Raw genomic sequence first — 18627 nt, 5'->3', positions numbered from 1 at the left:
ACATGGGTATACAACTATATAGCAGTTCCTTATTAAACACCTGTAAAGCTCATTTTCAGAAAGGGAAGAAATTATACTCTGTCCCTTATGTAGCACACCATATTAAAGGAAGGGAAAATGAATTACTGAAGACAGCAAATAACAGGTGGCCTAAAACTATTTCAATTTACCTTGTATGTGATAGTTATCTACTGAAAGGCATGTGTACACATACCACATAAAGCCTATTCTTCTTTTTTAGACCTGAATCATCTGATGTGGGATATTCATAGCTACTGACCCAACATATTCCTTTGACTTCTGATGCTCTAGAAGTATAAATCTAGCCTGAGAGTCAACACTAGAGCTACAAAAAGCCAAGATCACCATCTCTGAAAACAAGATAAGTACCTTGCATTCCATAATTCTCTATTATTCTAAATATATGATTCCTTAAGTACTTAAGTATTTAGATGTATTTTATAAGACATAAAAAAGATGGGCCAAATACTGAATATTACAGAAAACTAGGCCAGGCACAGTGACTCATGCTTGTAATCCCAACATTTTGGGAGGCTGAGGTGGGAAGATCATTTAAGCCCAGGAGTTCAAGACCAGCCTGGGTAACATAGTGAGACCCCATTTCTAAAAAAATAAAAATAAAAAAATAAAAAATAAGCTGGATGTGGCGGCACGCATCTGCAGTCTCAGCTACTCAGGAGATTGGGCGGAAGGAGAACTTGAGCTCAGAAGTTTGAGGCTGCAGTGAGTCCAGATCATGCCACTGCATTCTAGCCCAGGTGACAGAGCGAGACTCCATAGCTCACAAAAAAAAAAGAAACAAAAAAGAAAAGAAAAGAAAGAAAACTAATGGGGCGGGGGGTGGGGGGCTGTGCTTAAATTAAAAATGGAGTTCACTGTTTTACAATTTAATTTCTAATAATGTATATAGAGACTGGATCAAACAAGTTGTGTGTATTCTTCCACAACACATAGTACATTTTTAAAACTTTACTTTTGGAACAGAGAATATGAAAACTTTCAAGTACAGTTTTTCAAATTACAGGCTCACTATTCCCCTGGATGCTAAGAGATTCAAGAAAGAATGCAAGAAAGAAGTTGTGGTATGATCAACAGCATAAATGAATGAACAGACATGTACGCAAGGTATAAGAGATAAAATGATGTACATGGAAAATGTGGACATGGAGGCCAATCTGGCCACCAAAAATTATCTGAAACTACTCTTTGAGGCTTAACGGATTGAAGATTTAGCAGAAACTACCAAACAGTCCTAATCTAAAAGGGATAAATCCAGCGTCTGCTGGTCACAGAGGTCTCTAGCTAAATTTTAATTTTTTGAATCACACATTTGATTATAAGTCAAAAAGATTATAGACTTATTAAAAAGAACAAATTATGAAATGGGCCATACATTTAGAAGATCATTGAAGGTGAAGCTCAGAAGTAGACTTCAGCCAAAGCAAAAAGCATCTAACCATTATAACAACTATATTTTGAAAGTTCTAGTTTGAGTATCCTGGATATCTCTTTAGCACTATTCTATAGGTCAGATTTTAAGAAGAAAACCCAGACTTAGCTGCTTATACGAGTGATCTGAGCATTGACTTTGTATTTCAAGATTTAATTTAATCTGACCAAACTACTGCTGGATTATGTAAGAAAGTAGTGTTAGAGGGGACAACCAACCTCTTCCCAGGATTAACTGTTTGCTAATCACATGAAACTAACTATAAAAGTATTCTGTAACAATGTAATAATGTAATACAGGCATTCTCAGATTAACAAACATATTATTTTTAAGTTATAGACATAAAATTGTCAAAGAGAAAAAGTTCTCTTTAGAGATCCAAAGCTAAGTGATATTATCCAAGCCACCTATACTCACTCTCCTGGTGATATACCTGAGGCTAGAAGCTACTAAAGGTACAGCATGTGGTAAGAGACAGCCAACACAATGTTGTCCCTGGCCCTTTTGTCTTGGGCTTGGCCCCTGTAGTCACACAGGGGTGGGGGGATGGTGGGGTGGGGAGCAGGGATCAGTATCTTCTTGCTACAGATTTTTCTGTCAGCTCTCAAATCTGTTTAACCTATGCTACAGCTGAAATATTAATAGTTTAATGTTCAGTTAAATTGTGGGTTAAGTTGGTTTCCACAGTATGTTCTTACACTCTAACTACAACATTGCTTCAATGGAAAAATATTATAATCAACATATACGTTTTGTTAGAAAAGGCCAGTCAAAGAAACTGAAAAAATTAAAAGGCAAAACAAATTTTCTATCTTATAGTAATCTGATAAAGATTCAGTGTTGGAAAGGCTAAACTCATCTGGTAGCTATCAAAGGAATAAGACATTGACACTGATATAGTCAAGAACAGTTCTATCAAACTAAGGATCCCTGCGCTGTTTACAGTCACACCCTCTCCAGCCTCAACTTTTGGAAATCACTAATCTTTTTTTTACTCTTAAGATTTTGTCATTTCAAAAATGTTATAGAAATAGAACCAGGCAGTATGTAACCTTTTGGGATGGATTTTATTCACTTAACATAATTCCCTGGAGAGTTATTCCAAGTTGTTGCATGTATCGATAGTTCATTGTTTTTATTTATTGCTGAGTAGTATTCCTATGGTATGGATGTACCACAGTATGTGTAGGCAGCCATTCACCAGCTGAAGGACATCTGGGCTGTTTCCAGTTTGGGTCTATTATGCTATTATGAATAAAGCTGCTATGAATATTTATGTTAAGGTTTTTATGTGAACATAAGTTTTCATTTCTCTGGTACAAATGCTCACATGTGCATTTGCTGGGTTGAGTGGTGATTACATGTTCAGTTTCATAAGAAACTGCCAAACTGTTTTCCAGAATGGCTGTACCACTTTACATTCCCCCAAGCAATGTACGAGTGATTCAGTTTCTCTGCATCATTGGCAGAATTTGATATTGTCACTATTTTTTTATTTTAGCCATTCTGATAGGTGTGTAGTGATATCTCCTGTGGCTTTAATTTTCATTTCCCTAATAGCTAACGATGTTGAACATTTTTTCATGTGATTATGTGCCATCTGTATATCTTCTTCAGTGAAATTTTTCTTCATGTCTCTTGCCTATTTTCTAATTAAAGTATTTGCTTTTTACTAATGAGCTATGAGATTTATATATAATAGATATGTCTTTTCTTGGATATAAGGTTTGCACATATTTTCTCCTACTCTATAACCTATCTTTTTATCCTAACAGAGTCCTTCATAGAGCAAAAGTTTCTAATTTTGATAAAATCCAGTTTATCAATTTTTTATAAATTGTACTTTTAGTGTCCGGTCTAAGAATTCTTTGCCTGGCTCTAGATCCTGAAGATATTCTTTAAATTTTTCTAAAGGTTTTATAGTTTTGTTTTACTTTTAAGTTCATTATTCATTTTGAGTTAAATTTTTGTATAGGTATGAGATTTAGGTCAGAGTTCTTCCCCCCGCCCCCTCCGCCCAGTACTATTTGTTGAAAAAGCTATGCTTCCTCCGCTAGATTGCTTTTGTACTTTCGTCAAACTCAGCTTGGCATATTTGTGTGCTCTATTTCTGGGTTCTCTATTCTGTTCCACTGATCTATGTGTCCTCCTCCAATAACACACAGTCATGACTACTGTAACTATATAGTAAGTCTTGAAATAAGGTAGATTGACTGCTTTTACTTTATTCATTTTTTCAAATTTGTTTTAGCTGTCTAGTTCCTTCTCCTTACCATATAAATTTTAGAATAATATTTTCTATATCTATTTAAACATCTTGCTGAAATTTTGGCAGAAAATGCACTAAACAGATAGATCAATTTGGAAAGAACTGACAGCTTTACTATGTTGAGTTTTCTACCAAACCATGAATACTGTATGTCTCTTCATTTATTTAGGTCTTTTTTGATTTCTTTCATCAAGATTCTGTAATTTTCAGAATACAAATTCGGTATATATTTTGCTAGATTTATGCCTATTTCATTTTCTTTGGAACAACTGCAAGTGGTATTATATTTTAGATTTGGTTTCTATATGCTTAATTGTTAGTATTTAGAAATGTAATTGATTTTTGTGTGTGATCTTGTATCCTGAAATCTTGCTGACTTTGTTTTTGTACATTCTTTGGGATTTTCTATATAGTCAATAATGGCACCTACAAATAGGGATAGTTATACTTCCTCCTTTCCAATCTATATGCCTTTTGTTTCACACTACAAATTAACAAATGGCCCTAAACTGATTTTTTTGTTCAGCTTCTTTGAGTAGTTTCCTTTTACTTTTAAAGTTTCTAATACTATTAGATTCTGGTAAGACTACCAAAAAAAGGTAACAGCAGCTGCCCTATAATTATAATAGGGAGTAATTTTGGTTAGGTAAAAAAAATCAATATTTAAACTAAGGCTGGTTATACTTAATCAAGGTTTTTAACTTCCTGACAAGGACTTAGGTATGATTTTAGCAAATGAACAACTTAAAAACTTAAGTCATAAATTGAAATTAAATACATGGCTGACATAAACTTTGCTATTGAAACTGACCAGCTCATCAGTTACAAAAACAAGCACTATGAAGATTAAGTTAAGTAGGCTTTATATTTCCTATAGCCTCCAGTTCCAGACTACATCTGTTTTCTCTGATACACAAAACCAGAGTTAACATAGCTCCATTTATCACAGCATGATTGTAGGCAGACAAACCAGCCTGTTGCCAGATAGTGAAAGCAACTGTTATTAATCACAATTACAGGCCAAACCCTCTAAGAGAAATTGCATCAATATTCTCCCAACCCCTGGCCCTTTTACTCTGGAACTCAAAAGTGGTACTGAGAGTGTCATGACACTGCCTGAAGGTCAGTAAATAAAGACGCTACTATGAGTTCAACTTGAGTTTTAAGTTCAGGGTGCAAATCAAGAAAAATCTTTTCTATACATAAAAATAAGTGATCTCTCAAAAGCTCTAGCATTGAATAAGTTTAGTAAGGTAACTAAAAACATTATTTAAAATTTATGTTGAAAAGGTTTCTGCTTTATGCAATTATACTGAATAGCAGCAGGCATTTGAAATACACAAATTATATGATTACCTATAAACAGAAAAGCTATTATGAAAATAACATTCTTCGATAGCAAATTTCATAGCCAATACTGTGAAGGAAATTTATTTTTCTTTCATGCTGATTGTAAGAAACTTTCCTATAGGGTGAGATCAACTGTAGTTTATAAATGAAGTGTTAAAACTATTGTTGAATCATATCCCTTGAATGTATGGATCTTTCTCAAATACACTGTAATCCTTTCTTTAATGGTTAAGGCAAGAGTGCCAAACAGATTGCCACCTGGTGCTGTTTATTGCTATTATTAAAAACAAACAAACAAACAAACAAAACTATTGTTTTTTAAGCACTTACTAAATGTAAGGCATTTAGATGTTTTACATAGATTAACACGTTAAGTGTTGCAATAAACATATGAGACAGGTACCATTATTCCCATTTTGCAGGTGAGGAAAGTGTAAGTCAGAGAAATTATTTCCCTAAGGTCACACAGTTAAATGCAAAACCAGGAATCCAATATAGATTTGATTCCATAGCCTACATTATTTCCCCTCTGTTGTTCAGCCACTCAAATTTATATTGGTTTTAAGACAAAAAGTTCGAATGAAACCTTACATACTTAATGCATTTATGGAAGAACACTAAATGGTTGGTGGTATGGAGTTGCAGAAAAATGCACATTATTTTACCCTACTTCTCCAGTGAATAACTAACTCACTCTGCTAATATGCTTTCCCAGAAATATTAGAGAATAAACTGAGACTTTCTATGACTAAATATGACCCTCTATTCAATATTTAGGCCTAGTTACCAAATGTTAAGCTAAATTAACTACAAGACTACTGCCTTTTTTCTTTTCTTTTTTTTTAAGAGACAGGATCTTACTCTCTATCACCCATGCTGGAGTGCAGTGGTGCGATGCCAGCTCACTGCAACCTTAACCTCCTGGGCTCAAGCCATCTTCCCGCCCCAGCTTCCCAAGTAGTTAGGACTATAGGCATGTGCCACCACAGTGAGCTAGTTTTTTTTCTTAGTTTTTGTAGAGATAGAGTCTTGCTATGTTGCGCAGACTGTCTCAAACTCCTGGGCTCAAGCACTCTTTCTGCCTGGGCCTCCCAAAGTGTTTGGAATGCAGGTGTGAACCACAGCCAACTACTGCTGTTCTAATATAAAAGAATAATATGCGGCCGGGAGTGGTGGCTCATGCCTGTAATCCCAGCACTTTGGGAGGCTGAGACAGGTGGATCACCTGAGGTCAGGAGTTCAAGACCAGCCTGGCCAACATGGTGAAACCCCGTCTCTACTAAAAATACAAAAAATTAGCTGGGTGTGGTGGCGGGAGCCTGTAATCCCAGCTACTCGGGAGGCTGAGGCAGGAGAATAGCTTGAACCCGGGAGGCAGAGGTTGCAGTGAGTGGAGATCACACCATTGCACTCCAGCCTGGGCAACAAGAGTGAAACTCCATCTCAAAAAAAAAAAAAAAAAAAAAAAGGATTAATATGCAAGATTCAGAGCTATTTGAGAATTTGCAAAACTGCTCAAATTCTGTGAGCATTTATTTGGGCATGCACTTATCCACTCATTTAACATATTCATTGAGCATTTATGATGTTGAACTATGTAGAGCAGCCAGTCACTGTTTAGGGAGTGAGAAATACAGTGACAAACAAGATAAAGTCATTAACCTCAATAAATTTAATTCAAATGGGGATTACAGAAACTACACAAGAGGACAGGGAAGATCCCTCTAAGAAGGTGACATTTTTATTAGAGACCTAAACAATGGTAGAAAGTGAGTCATGCAAATATCTGAAGGAGAGGACAAAAGAAAGAACATTATAAAAAGAGGGAACAAACAGCAAAGGCCTTGAATGGGAAAAGGGATTAGTATGTCTGAGGAATAGCAAGAAGGCCAATGCTGCTAGAGGTACAAAGTAATCAAAGCTGAGGACAGAGTGATATACAATGTATCCTTGAAGGTCATGATAAGGAGTTTTCATTTTGTTCTGAATGTGAGAAGAAACCATTGATTTTTTTAACAGATTAATCGAGCAGCAAGAGAAATGAGAATACAGTAGCAGAGTGGAAGAAAGACCAGTTAGGAGGCTACTGCAGAAAATAGTGATTGCAACTAGGGTAGTGGTATAGAGGTGTTATCTTTTGATATCTGGGAGTTAGCATACAGATGGTCTTTTAAATTGTGAAACTTGAGATAATCATCAAATAAATGAGTGAATATAGAGAAATGAAGGTCTGAGGGCTGAGCCCTGGAAGACTCCAATATTTAGCAATTTAGAAGAGAAAAAAAATAGAAAAGGGAAAGCATCTTCATTTTATCAGCATACCTAAAGTATGTTTTGTATTCAGACTTATCAAAGTTTCTTTTTCTAAGCACTAGAGAAAACCAGGTATTTCAGAGTCTGTTTCCATGCGGTCATATTTTGACCACATAGAAAATAAAAATACAAGAAATAGGATAGACATAAAAGATTTCTATTTAAATGAGGCAAAACCTCTAAATAAATTAATATGCCATCAAACGTTGCTAGATTCAACTTCAACCCAATAATTCCTAAAAAATAAATTATTTCACCAAATTGGGAGTCTTCAATAAAAGAAGGCCTATAAACCTAGAACCTGAAAAATGCACATAACTTATACACATAGCTTTAATGTAACATGATATGACCGCCATTTGTTCTATTACCTGATACTGCTGACATGTTAGGAACCTACTATCAGGAAGTATAAAAGCAACCAGAAAGTAAAATTGACTTATGGGAAAGAACTGAGAAAACAATAAAAATATCTATGATGAGGAAATTAAAATTTTAATTCACTAAAGAAACAGATTTTATATTTTAAAATAAAAATAGTAATGTATAATATTTATTTTCCTTTTATTGATTGATTGAGACAGGGACTTGCTCTGTCACCCAGGCTGGAGTGCAATGATGTGATCATGGCTCACTGCAACCTCAACCTCCCAGGGTCAAGCAATCCTCCTACCTCAGCCTCCTGAGTAGCTGGGATTACAGGTACATGCTACCATGCCCAGCTAAGTTTTGTATTTTTTGTAGAGATGGGGTTTTGCCATGTTGCCCAGACTGGTCTCGAACTCCTGAGCTTAAGCAATCCACCCGCCTAGGCCTCCCAAAGTGTTGGGATTACAGGTGTGAGCCCCCATGCCCAGCCCATATACATTTAAAAAAAAATTAATTACATGTCTCTTCTCAAAGCCTGTCATTTTCAATCTTTTTAGATTTTACTCATTCCAGACATTTTAGGCTTTTAATTAAGAGGACAAGGATACTGAGGCAGGAAGACCTGAGTTCAAATTCAAATTCTGGCACTAACAATTATTACTGATTTTTGGGCCAGTTACTTTATATTCAGAACCTTAGCATCTTCATGTGAAAGACAGGAATAATATCTATTCCACTGCATTAAGCAGAATTAAAAGAGGTTAAGTATGCAGAACACCTAGGCAAATATTCACAGCTTTATAAATGTTAATTCTTTTCCTTTATTCTATCCCCTTTCTCTTCACTGTTTCAGCATCTATAGCATTTACATGTTTATTAAAGGCATCTTTTGAATGCTCTTCAAAGAAAAGGGCAGACTCTTACCTTAAAGTAGCAATAATATAATCCCATCAGTTTTTGTCAGTAGCTTTTGAAATGGTATAATATTTTATTCTACTGGACTATAAGGCCCTTCACGGGAAGGACTGCCATTCTTTGAAACCATATTGCCTAGTAGACCAGTAGTACTTATAATATGGAAAACAGATTATACAACATTAAAAGGTATTAAGCATACTTTGTATCAAAAAATATAACAAGCACTTTGGGAGGCTGAGGTGGGCGGATCATCTGAGATCAGGAGTTCGAGACCAGCCTGGCCAACATGGTGAAAACCCGTCTCTACTAAAAATACAAGAATTAGCCATGAATTGTGGCGCATGCCTGTAATCCCAGCTACTCAGAAGGCTGAGGCATGAGAATCACTTGAACCTGGGAGGCAGTGGTTGCAGTGAGCTGAGATCGCACCGCTGCACTCCAGCCTGGGTGATAAAGTGAGACTCAGTATCAAAAAAAAAAAAAAAAAAAAGACAAGAAGCTATTTACATTATTTGCTTTGTGATCAAGAATTGAATAAACATGATCTTATAAATTAACATTTTCTAACTATTTGTTAATTAACTTTTATTTCTGTGAATTGATTACTATAATGGACTATTACCATAGCTCTCACAAATGAAATCCAGGTTTCAAACAGATTTGCACTAGAGTTGGTTAATTCTATTATTTTATATTTGTGCATATTTCCTTTTTTCTGTAATGACAGCTTTATGAATATATTATTTCAAGTATGTTTACACAGACTCTGTTAGAGCCTACCAAGAAGCTCTCAGTGTCTGGGGTACATCTGAATAAGTAAAATCAGCAGTTCTGCCATATTACACTTTCTGCATCTTACAAATAGACACTATTAGAGGGACTTGAATTTCCTCATAGACCCTAAAGAAGCAGAGTCACTGGCCGAGGAAAAAACTGTTGGTTTGGTTTTCCTCTGTAATGCATGCAGTCATTTGGTCATTTCCAACTTCTAGAGAATTTCTGACACTGTATAAAGACTGAATAAACTGAGAACATCATCCCACAATTAAGGAAACAGCTCATCTAATAACCAATTACCTAAAGACAATTAAGCCTCTATTTCCTTGTTATATATATGATTCAGCTGCTCTCACCCTCTTGCAGAATCACTTCTCCCCCATATTTACCATTATAAACACAGAAACCACATTTCTTGATTTTAAAAGAGAAAGTAAACTATTGGCTGCTGACACATACCAAAGGGCAAATTTGTTGGCTACACTGGGAAAGTTTTAATTTTTCTTCAAACAAGTAATTATGGCTAAATCATTTCGCTTCCTCTGTCCCATGTAATCAATTTAGACAAAAAACAAACGAATAATTCATGATATATTTATATATATTAAAGTTCCCTGAATATTAATACAGTGTCATTTTGAAACAGAATAAAAAATATTTAAAATAATGTATATGGCTTTCTGAAAATTTTACAGGAAGGTGCTAAAATCTAAGTATCTTTAAGTAACTCCTCATTCAAATTTCCAAAATTAGGTTTGGACTTTTAGAGTAATCGGAAGCTTTTAATTCCACTTGAGAGGTTTCTAATATTCATTTCCCTCCCTTTTCCATTTTTGTTATGCTAGCATTCATGAGAACCACCATCAAATGAAAGGATAATAAATAGAAAAAGGAGAGAGGAGCATATTATCTTCAATGCTATTGGCTAAGTTAAGAATTCATTTGTGGGGGTTAAGAGAAAAGTATAGCAAAAGATTAAATTGACACAATGACGTTGGGAGCTACTTTATTCATCAACATTAGCAATCTTTTCCAGACCTTGCTGTAAGAATATGATATGGACACACACCTTCCATAGTCCACTCCTTTTCCAACAGAATTCTTTCATTCATTCTGCATCAATGTATGGAGGGCTGACTGGGGCTAAGCACTGTTCTAGGTGCTACCATATAGCAACAAACAAAACTAGAATTCCTGTCCTCATGGATTCTCACTTTGCAGTAGGAAGACAAAATTTTAAAAAGTACAAATATACAGCATATTAGATAATAATAAGTGCTATGAATGAAAATTAAACAGGAAAAAAAAGGATATAAGGAGTCCAGAGCAGTTGAATTTTTAAATTAGGTGGTTATTGTCACTGTGCTTCCTAAAAACTATTTAAAAATCTACACATTTCTATTTTCCTAGGCATCAAATTATATTGAGGGATATATTAAGAACAAATTTCTATTCTACAGAACAAGTGGATAACCTCAAACATTGCCATTTTAATAACAGAATGGCCATTGTTTAAGTTTTAAAGGGTTGCCTCATTATTTTCATAAGCATGCTAGTAACAAAGATAGACATATTGTAATAATTTTTATTGGTGATGTGATAAATTCTGACAACACTCGATACTTACCAAAATGACCACTAAGTAATAACAAAACAGCATTAAAACCTTGAAAAAAGATTTTTCTCATATCCTGTCTTGATTAATTTGCTGAGCTTTGGGTGGGCAGAACAAACAGCCCTTCAATATATTATATAACTGATGACCAGCTACATTCCGATAGTGGCTGAAAAACATTTATGTAGGTTTTCTTCCCCATCATCCTTTAAAAACGTTTGCTGTAATGGTCAAGTACCTCCCAGGCAAGCTGGGCTATTCTCTGATAACATGAGGTCCCTGAGACCTCAGAAGGTTGCCTGGGCTCCATTTCTAGGCAGGCGTGTCAAAGTAAGCTTCTAGTGGCTACTACCACAACCTAACTATCTACCTCAGTAACAGCTATTTCAAAGACATAGAAACTTTAAAGAAACCTCAAGTACTCTCATATTATTCATACCATGTCTCTCCCTAGCATTTTACTGAACTGAATATTTTTTAAAGTAAGAATATTAGAAATTCTACTCCCAAAAAAGAATACCTCCATGGTGATGTGACAGGCTCCCTCCATTAGCAAGGATTTCTTCTCTAGCAGCTGCCTGTATTTGGAAACAACACAACAAATTGTTGCTAGTTAGATTTCATTTTGCAGTGAAAGAAAAAGACCCAACTCCCAAAGAAGGCACATGTTTCCTGGGTTAAATAATAAACTAGAAGCCTAACTTTCCTCTCTTTTGGTCAAATGTGTTTAAAAAGCAATTAAATAAGTAGCCTAGCTTCATAAGTTTTTTTCTAGTGAATAGTCACAATGTCTAAAGATCACTTTGAGATTCTAGGGAAAAAAGACAAAATGACCATTCAGCACACTAAATTGTTAATAATATTAATAACTGCAAAGTTGTAAATGTAGAGTCAGGTTCTACTTAGTAACGAACATCTCTCATTATACCAACAAAGTGACTAAAATTTACTGACTGCTTCCTATAAGTGTACCAGAAAAGTTCCAAGTAATTTGCCTGCAGTATCTTATTTTCAGTATAGCTTTATGAAATAACTACAATTACTCCCATTTCACAGATAAAATAAGGCTTAGATAGGTTAAATTATTTGCCTAATATCATATAGTGGGCATCAGAGTTATAAAGCTATTAGAGTCTTTATTAAACCTATTAGAAATCAACCATAAATGCCTTTATGGAGAACACTTCTTAGGTCAATGACTTGGGATAAATTACTTGTCAGTCTTATGGATACCTAAGAGTGAAAAGAAAAACCTCGTTTTACCCTAATATGTAAGGTCCTAACCAAGCTCCTTATAGAGGACACAGGTAGGAAAAGATAAACACTTGTAACAAAATATAGAATGACTAAAGAGCACTGTAAAAAAGGATGACAGAAACTGGAATTGCCTTCAGTTCCTAATGATTCGTGAATATATAATGGCTACGAGGTAAAATATCTATAGTACCTTGGGCCTCTCAAAATTACTCAGTTGTGTATGTATAAACTATCAGGAGTTAGGCCAGGGTAGGAGAGGGCCCAGGTGGGACAGACGGACCACATCCCACTGCAAAGTAATCTATAAGAACCCTCGGCTGTGTGCGGTAGCTCACGCTTGTAATCCCAGCACTTTGGGAGGCCAAGGTGGGTGGATCACTTGAGGTCAGGAGTTTGAGACCAGCCTGGCCAACTGGTGAAACCCTGTCTCTACTAAAAATACAAAAAATTAGCCAGGCATGGTGGTGCACGCCTGTAAGTAATCCCAGCTACTCAGGAGGCTGAGACAGGAGAATCGCTTGAACCCGGGAGGCAGAGGTTGCAGTGAGCCGAGATCACGCCACTGCACTCCAGCCTGGGCAACAGAGTGAGACTTCATCTCCAAAAAACCCTCATTACTTAGGGTTTTCCGAATGAATCATACATATGCCCTCCCCTGCTCTAAGAATTTATATCCTCTAACAAATTACTTTAAATTAAGCAATAGCTACTTGAGATCAGTAGCACTTAGAGACCAGCAGTTTGGACTGAGAAAGAAGGAATAATTTCACTCTGTGGTACTGTACAGAAGGGACATTTGGGTAGCCAGAGGGCAACACTGAAGCAGTGAAAGGCTAAAGTGACAAAAAAGTACTCAGACTTTTGGGAATGATATTATTCTGACTGGGGTGATGGTTTCACAGGTGTATACATATGTCAAAACTGTACACATTAAATATATACAGCTTACTGTACTTGAATTGTACTTCAAAAAAGCTGCTTAAAAAAAAAAGAGGAGGCATAGGAGGAAGCCAACCAAACCCTTTCTATAGTTTGGGTCTAAAAGTGTGCTACTGAAATTAGCTTTAGCAGGTGTGCAATGCAGTTAAAACAGTAGAACACCTGAGTTTTTAAGAAACCTCAGCTTCCTACAGGATCCTCCACACTCTAGTCTGTTTAGGCGTACTCATAAGGAGAAATATTGGTTATCAAGAGAAAGCTTTATAAAAATAAACAGTTTGACACTCTTTAAGAAAGTAATAGAAACTGCTAGCTAATGAACCCAAAGCACCCACTTACAGCTATAGCATATAAAAAAATTACAAATCTAGAATGACATTACAACAACACAGACCAAGGGCATTAGGGCTGCTGACCTCAACAGCAACCACCATGTGGAAATGAGTGGGCTGTGAAAGTGATATCTAAGATTCCTATATAGTTATTTAATTTAATGAATTCCTAATTGTTATTTAATTTAATCAGCTATTATGTACTGTAACAACTGAAGAATCACAGACTAGGTGTACAGTACCTTAATTTTAGACTCACAATTCAGTACATAAGCCAGGGAAACAAATATGCTTTTCATTTCTAAGGGCTAACAGCTAGGCAAACCATGTGTGATTAAAGAGACTCAACTTAAAATTCATAAATTGACAGTAAAATTTATTGAAATTAATCAACAGCTGTAAAAGCTATATGCAGGTATGCAAAATTACCTCAGTTTGTTCAAATACGGTCAGTGGGTCACTAATTCCCCTGTAGTTAAAGGCAAAATAGAAGTAGATACAAGCACCTGCATCGTAAGTCTGCGTCACCCTAAAAAACAAACAAAATCCCCACAGGGGCTTTAAGTTAAGTGAAATCAGATTTAACATCTAGAAACTGAAAGTCAAGACGACCCAAATGATTAGTTTAAGATATAATCTCAGTTTCTTCCCAGCCTCTACTCCATGGAAGGAATACACATTGGCTTGCTTTAGAGTTGTCCGCCAAAACAGGTGAACTGAGGACGCAGTGCAAAACAAGAATTTTACCTTCACTGAAGTACCAAATTAGTCAATATTATAGGTACATATTCAATCTTTTTCATGTCTGTCCCATGTTACTAAAACTTCTATTGGGAAATAACCCAAAAACTTTTATACATTGTATCAGAATTTTATGATGAAATGCCATTTTCACTGATTTTATTGTTTTGTTATCTAGAAGTAATGAGAACTATCAGCAGCATGTGTGAAAACAATATATATATAGTCAGGTAAGCATGAGTATTCATTGTTTTAAATTGCATAATCAAAATGACATTTAACAAAATTACTTAAAAACATACATATCTTGACAATAAAAGTAACACTAACTTTTTCTCTTTCTGCTATTTAACAAATTTTATGCACAATTAAGTTCTTCATGTGACTTGTATAAGACAAAATTTGAGGCACTTCCATACTACAAATAGTACAACTCCATTACTTTTCAAGAGCGTGTTTTCCTGCCAAAGGACCACACAATGAGCTCCATATGTGCAAGTGAAAACTACATTTTGTACTGCCACAGTAAACAGATGGGATGCAAAACATCTGCCCCTTGAAAAAGGCAAAATTAGACTCAAAACAAGAAACCTGGTTCCTTTCATTGGCTCCGTCACTGCTGAGGATAGGAACATGAAATGCATAGAATACATATGGACATGCAAACACTGACTAAAGTCAATTTTCATTATTTAAAAAATCCATATTGATAGAGAATGGGCAAATTATAATCTCTTCAAAGTACATTAAGTCCTCTTGTCAGGCATGTGAATCAGAGCAACTGCATCTTAAATAGGAGCTGGGTAAAATGAGGCTGAAACCTACCTACTGGGCTGCATTCCCAGAGGGTTAAGCCATTCTAAGTCACAAGATGAGATAGGAAGTCAGCACAAGATACAGGTCATAAAGACCTTGCTGATAAAACAGATTGCAGTAAAGAAGCCAGCTAAATCCCACCAAAACCAAGATGGCCAGGAGAGTGACCTCTGGTCATCCTCACTGCTACACCTACACTCCCACCAGTGCCATGTCAGTTTACAAATGCCAAGGCAACATCAGGAAGTTACCCTATATGGTCTAAAAAGGGGAGGCATGAATAATCCACTCCTTGTTTAGCTTATCATCAAGAAACAACCATAAAAATGGGCAATCAGCAGACCTTGGGGCAGCTCTGTCTATGGAGTAGTCATTCTTTTATTCCTTTACTTTGCTGATAAACTTGCTTTCACTTTGCACTGTGGACTTGCCCTGAATTCTTTCTTGTGTGAGATCCAAGAACCTTCTCCTGAGGTCTGGATCATCCTGGGACCCTTTTCCTGTCACACTCTGGCAACAATACTATGAACTCATCATTTGTTTGGATTCTCCTGGCTCAACAGACTTAAAGATTCTGGGTAGAAAAAAAGCAAATCACTGCAGTTGAGACCAAAACAAAGACACTGTTCAGTTCTGGCTATAACTTTAAAAATAAATGACAACAAAATAAATATCAATAATATTTTTTTCTACACAGATAATTTAAATGCACTAGAAGAAACTCTTCTAAGCTGTATATAGCCAAAATATGACATAGTCTAAAGATACAGAATGACAAACGAGATTGAAGAATGCTGAGAGAACATAAAGACAGACACCATCAATTAGCTTATGCAGCTTAAAAATCAGTCTATACAAAGAATAAGAAAATTGGGATAGGTCGGATTGGGAAAAGTGTTCTGGAAAGGCATACCTAAATGGAGACTGACAAAGAAACATAAGATATTGTTCTAGGTAAAACAAATGCCAATATTACTAAGATATAGGAGAAATCAACCAGGAGATAACAAAGGAGAGTAAAAAAAGCTAGACATCCATGAGTAGAGGAACCAGATGAACAAAAAGATTAAGGGAAAAAAGCAGGGAAAAATGAGCTGAAAATAACTACAATTCTGACATCAGGAATAAGAAAAACCAAAGAACTTGAGGAAGAAACCAATATCAAAGGAGCAACGGCTATCACTGCTGTGAAAGCTTGAGGAGATATACCTTCACTCAGCACCAACTCTACAGAACACAGACCCTCTGTGGCCCACAGACCTGCTTTTCTTTCTCCCTAGGCCTCATATCTTCTCACCTTTCTCCCTAGGCCTCATATCTTCACACCTTGCCTCAATCACTGACTCTTCCTAAGTATGTGCGCCCATTTTCTTCCTCTTCAAAAACCTACTTTCCCAGATCAAAAGGACACAGAAGCCAACTTAAAGAAACTCCCAATAGCCACACTGGGAAAATCTGAGCAACAAAGTGAATAATGACAATAATGGCTATATTCCAGACAATAAAATGTCTATGAGTCCCTACTGATAGACTCATATACAGACAGATAGATAGTGGCAAGGGGTGGGGGGCGGGCAGAAAAAGAGAGGAGAGGAAAGCTCTTCTTTACAGTGAATTCCAATTGATAAATGTAAAATGAATGATTAAAATAGAAAATCACCATTTACAAGTATCACAATTATAACTGCTGTAATCAAGAATCAACAGTGGGATATTGATGTGATTAGGAGATGATATAAGAAACAGGATATTTGCATAGTCTCAAAGTTTCTCCCCATAAGGTTTTTGGGTTTTTTTTTCTTTTGAGATGTAGTTTTGCTATTGTTGCCCAGGCTGGAGTGTAGTGGCACTATCTTGGCTCACTGCAACCTCCATCTCCCGGGTTCAAGCGATTCTCCTACCTCAGCCTCCCGAATTGCTGGGATTACAGGCGCCTGCCACCACACCTGGCTAATTTTTTTGTATTTTTAGTAGAGACGGGGTTTCATCATGTTGGCCAGGCTGGTCTCAAACTCCTGACCTCAAGTGATCCACCCACCTCAGCCTCCCAAAGTGCTGGTATTACAGGCGTGAGCCACTGTGCCCAGCCATAAGATATTTTTTTAAATACAATGGGGAAAAATAGTAATTGTAGAGTGGAGAAACCTGGCAGGTACCACCCTAACCAAGTAGTCTAAGTTAATGTCACCAATAATGAGACTTAATAAATATCATGCTTCTTCTGAGATGATCTACCATGAAGAGCACTTCACTATCACTTCTGAGGTAATCTTGCTGAAATGTGTAACTTGAATTTGATCACAAGAAAACATCAGACAAACTCAAACTGAGAGATGTTTTACAAGATAACTGGCCAGTATTCTTCAAATGTATGAAGGTTATGAAAGATAAAGATATCAGTAGGACAAATGATAAAGAAAGGTTTGTGAGTTAGGTAATCATATTGAAACAACACTAATTTTTTGGTTTTGATAATCATACTATAATTACATGAGATATCAGCATTTGAGGAAGATGAGTAAAGGGTACACAGGAAATATTTGTACAATACTATTTTTTTTTAAGTCTAGTTACACCTCCCCCAAAATTAGAAATTTAAAAGCAATGTAAATGTTTTTCCAATTGGCCCATCTCCATCAAGAGGGATTCTTTTTTAAAAAACTAAGTATACTGCACTTAAAGTCAGTCACTAAACAGACCAGATGAAACGTGGTGATCAGTTAAGTTTTCCAAACTCCCTCGAAGTTAAAAGAAATAAGTATGAGATATGAGAATTAAAAACTAAGAAATGGGAGAAATGCCCAAATACCAAATATGATCAGACTGAGTGAAATATAGCATCTTCACTAAGTTTACATTAATAATTAGTAAGCCTTTGGAAAACAAATAGGATGATTGTACCAAATGCAGTGACATAGCCTTAAAATACTATGACTCAATATTTATACATGTTGAATGTGTATATACAAAAGATATCAAGAATGTTAGATTATTAAATCATATATATAATATATATCTGAGCTTTCAAAATGCAATTAGGAAAGCATTTAAAAGGGAGGTAAGGTAATCATAGTCAAATCTCCATATGCAATTTACAGAGGCTCCCACAAAGAATTTAATTTAACAGAAGGAGCAAATGCAGAGGAAATACTCTTTTTACTACACAATACAAATAGAATCTAATCTACAATTTTAATCGCATTTTAGGCCAAATGTTAGGTGCCTCAGAACAGAAGAAATGAACTGTTTAACAATGCTACTGTCAATTTGCCAGCTGTGTTTCTCTTCTAGTGTTAATTCACCCTCATAAAAAAAAGATCCCTTGAATATTTACATTTTAAGTACCAGATATACAAAGTTTAAGAAACAACGGAGAACCATTTTAACTCCAAGGGCACTATCATTAGGAATAACCAAATTCAAATAAAGTGTGAAGGATAAATGAATGAAACGAACTTGC

The 18627-nt window shown here is 35.8% G+C and overlaps 1 protein-coding gene across 3 annotated transcripts in view; it reads right to left on the bottom strand.

Moving 5' to 3' along the window:
- The window catches only part of AGPS (alkylglycerone phosphate synthase), a 151062-nt gene that overhangs the window by 8427 nt on the left and 124008 nt on the right, over nt 1–18627 (bottom strand). For all 3 annotated transcript variants that reach the window (NM_003659.4, XM_011512041.3, XM_047446104.1), the window contains exons 18-19: nt 14040–14139; nt 11603–11660 (exon numbers count right to left, since the gene is read on the bottom strand). In NM_003659.4, the coding sequence (NP_003650.1) occupies nt 11603–11660; nt 14040–14139 (158 nt within the window). The remainder of the gene's footprint in view (nt 1–11602; nt 11661–14039; nt 14140–18627) is intronic.

This window comes from Homo sapiens, chromosome 2 (assembly GCF_000001405.40).
Source record: "Homo sapiens chromosome 2, GRCh38.p14 Primary Assembly".
Lineage (NCBI taxonomy): Eukaryota > Metazoa > Chordata > Mammalia > Primates > Hominidae > Homo > Homo sapiens.
Note: the sequence above shows the minus strand (reverse complement) of the source record. Positions and strands in the feature narration are given on the sequence as shown.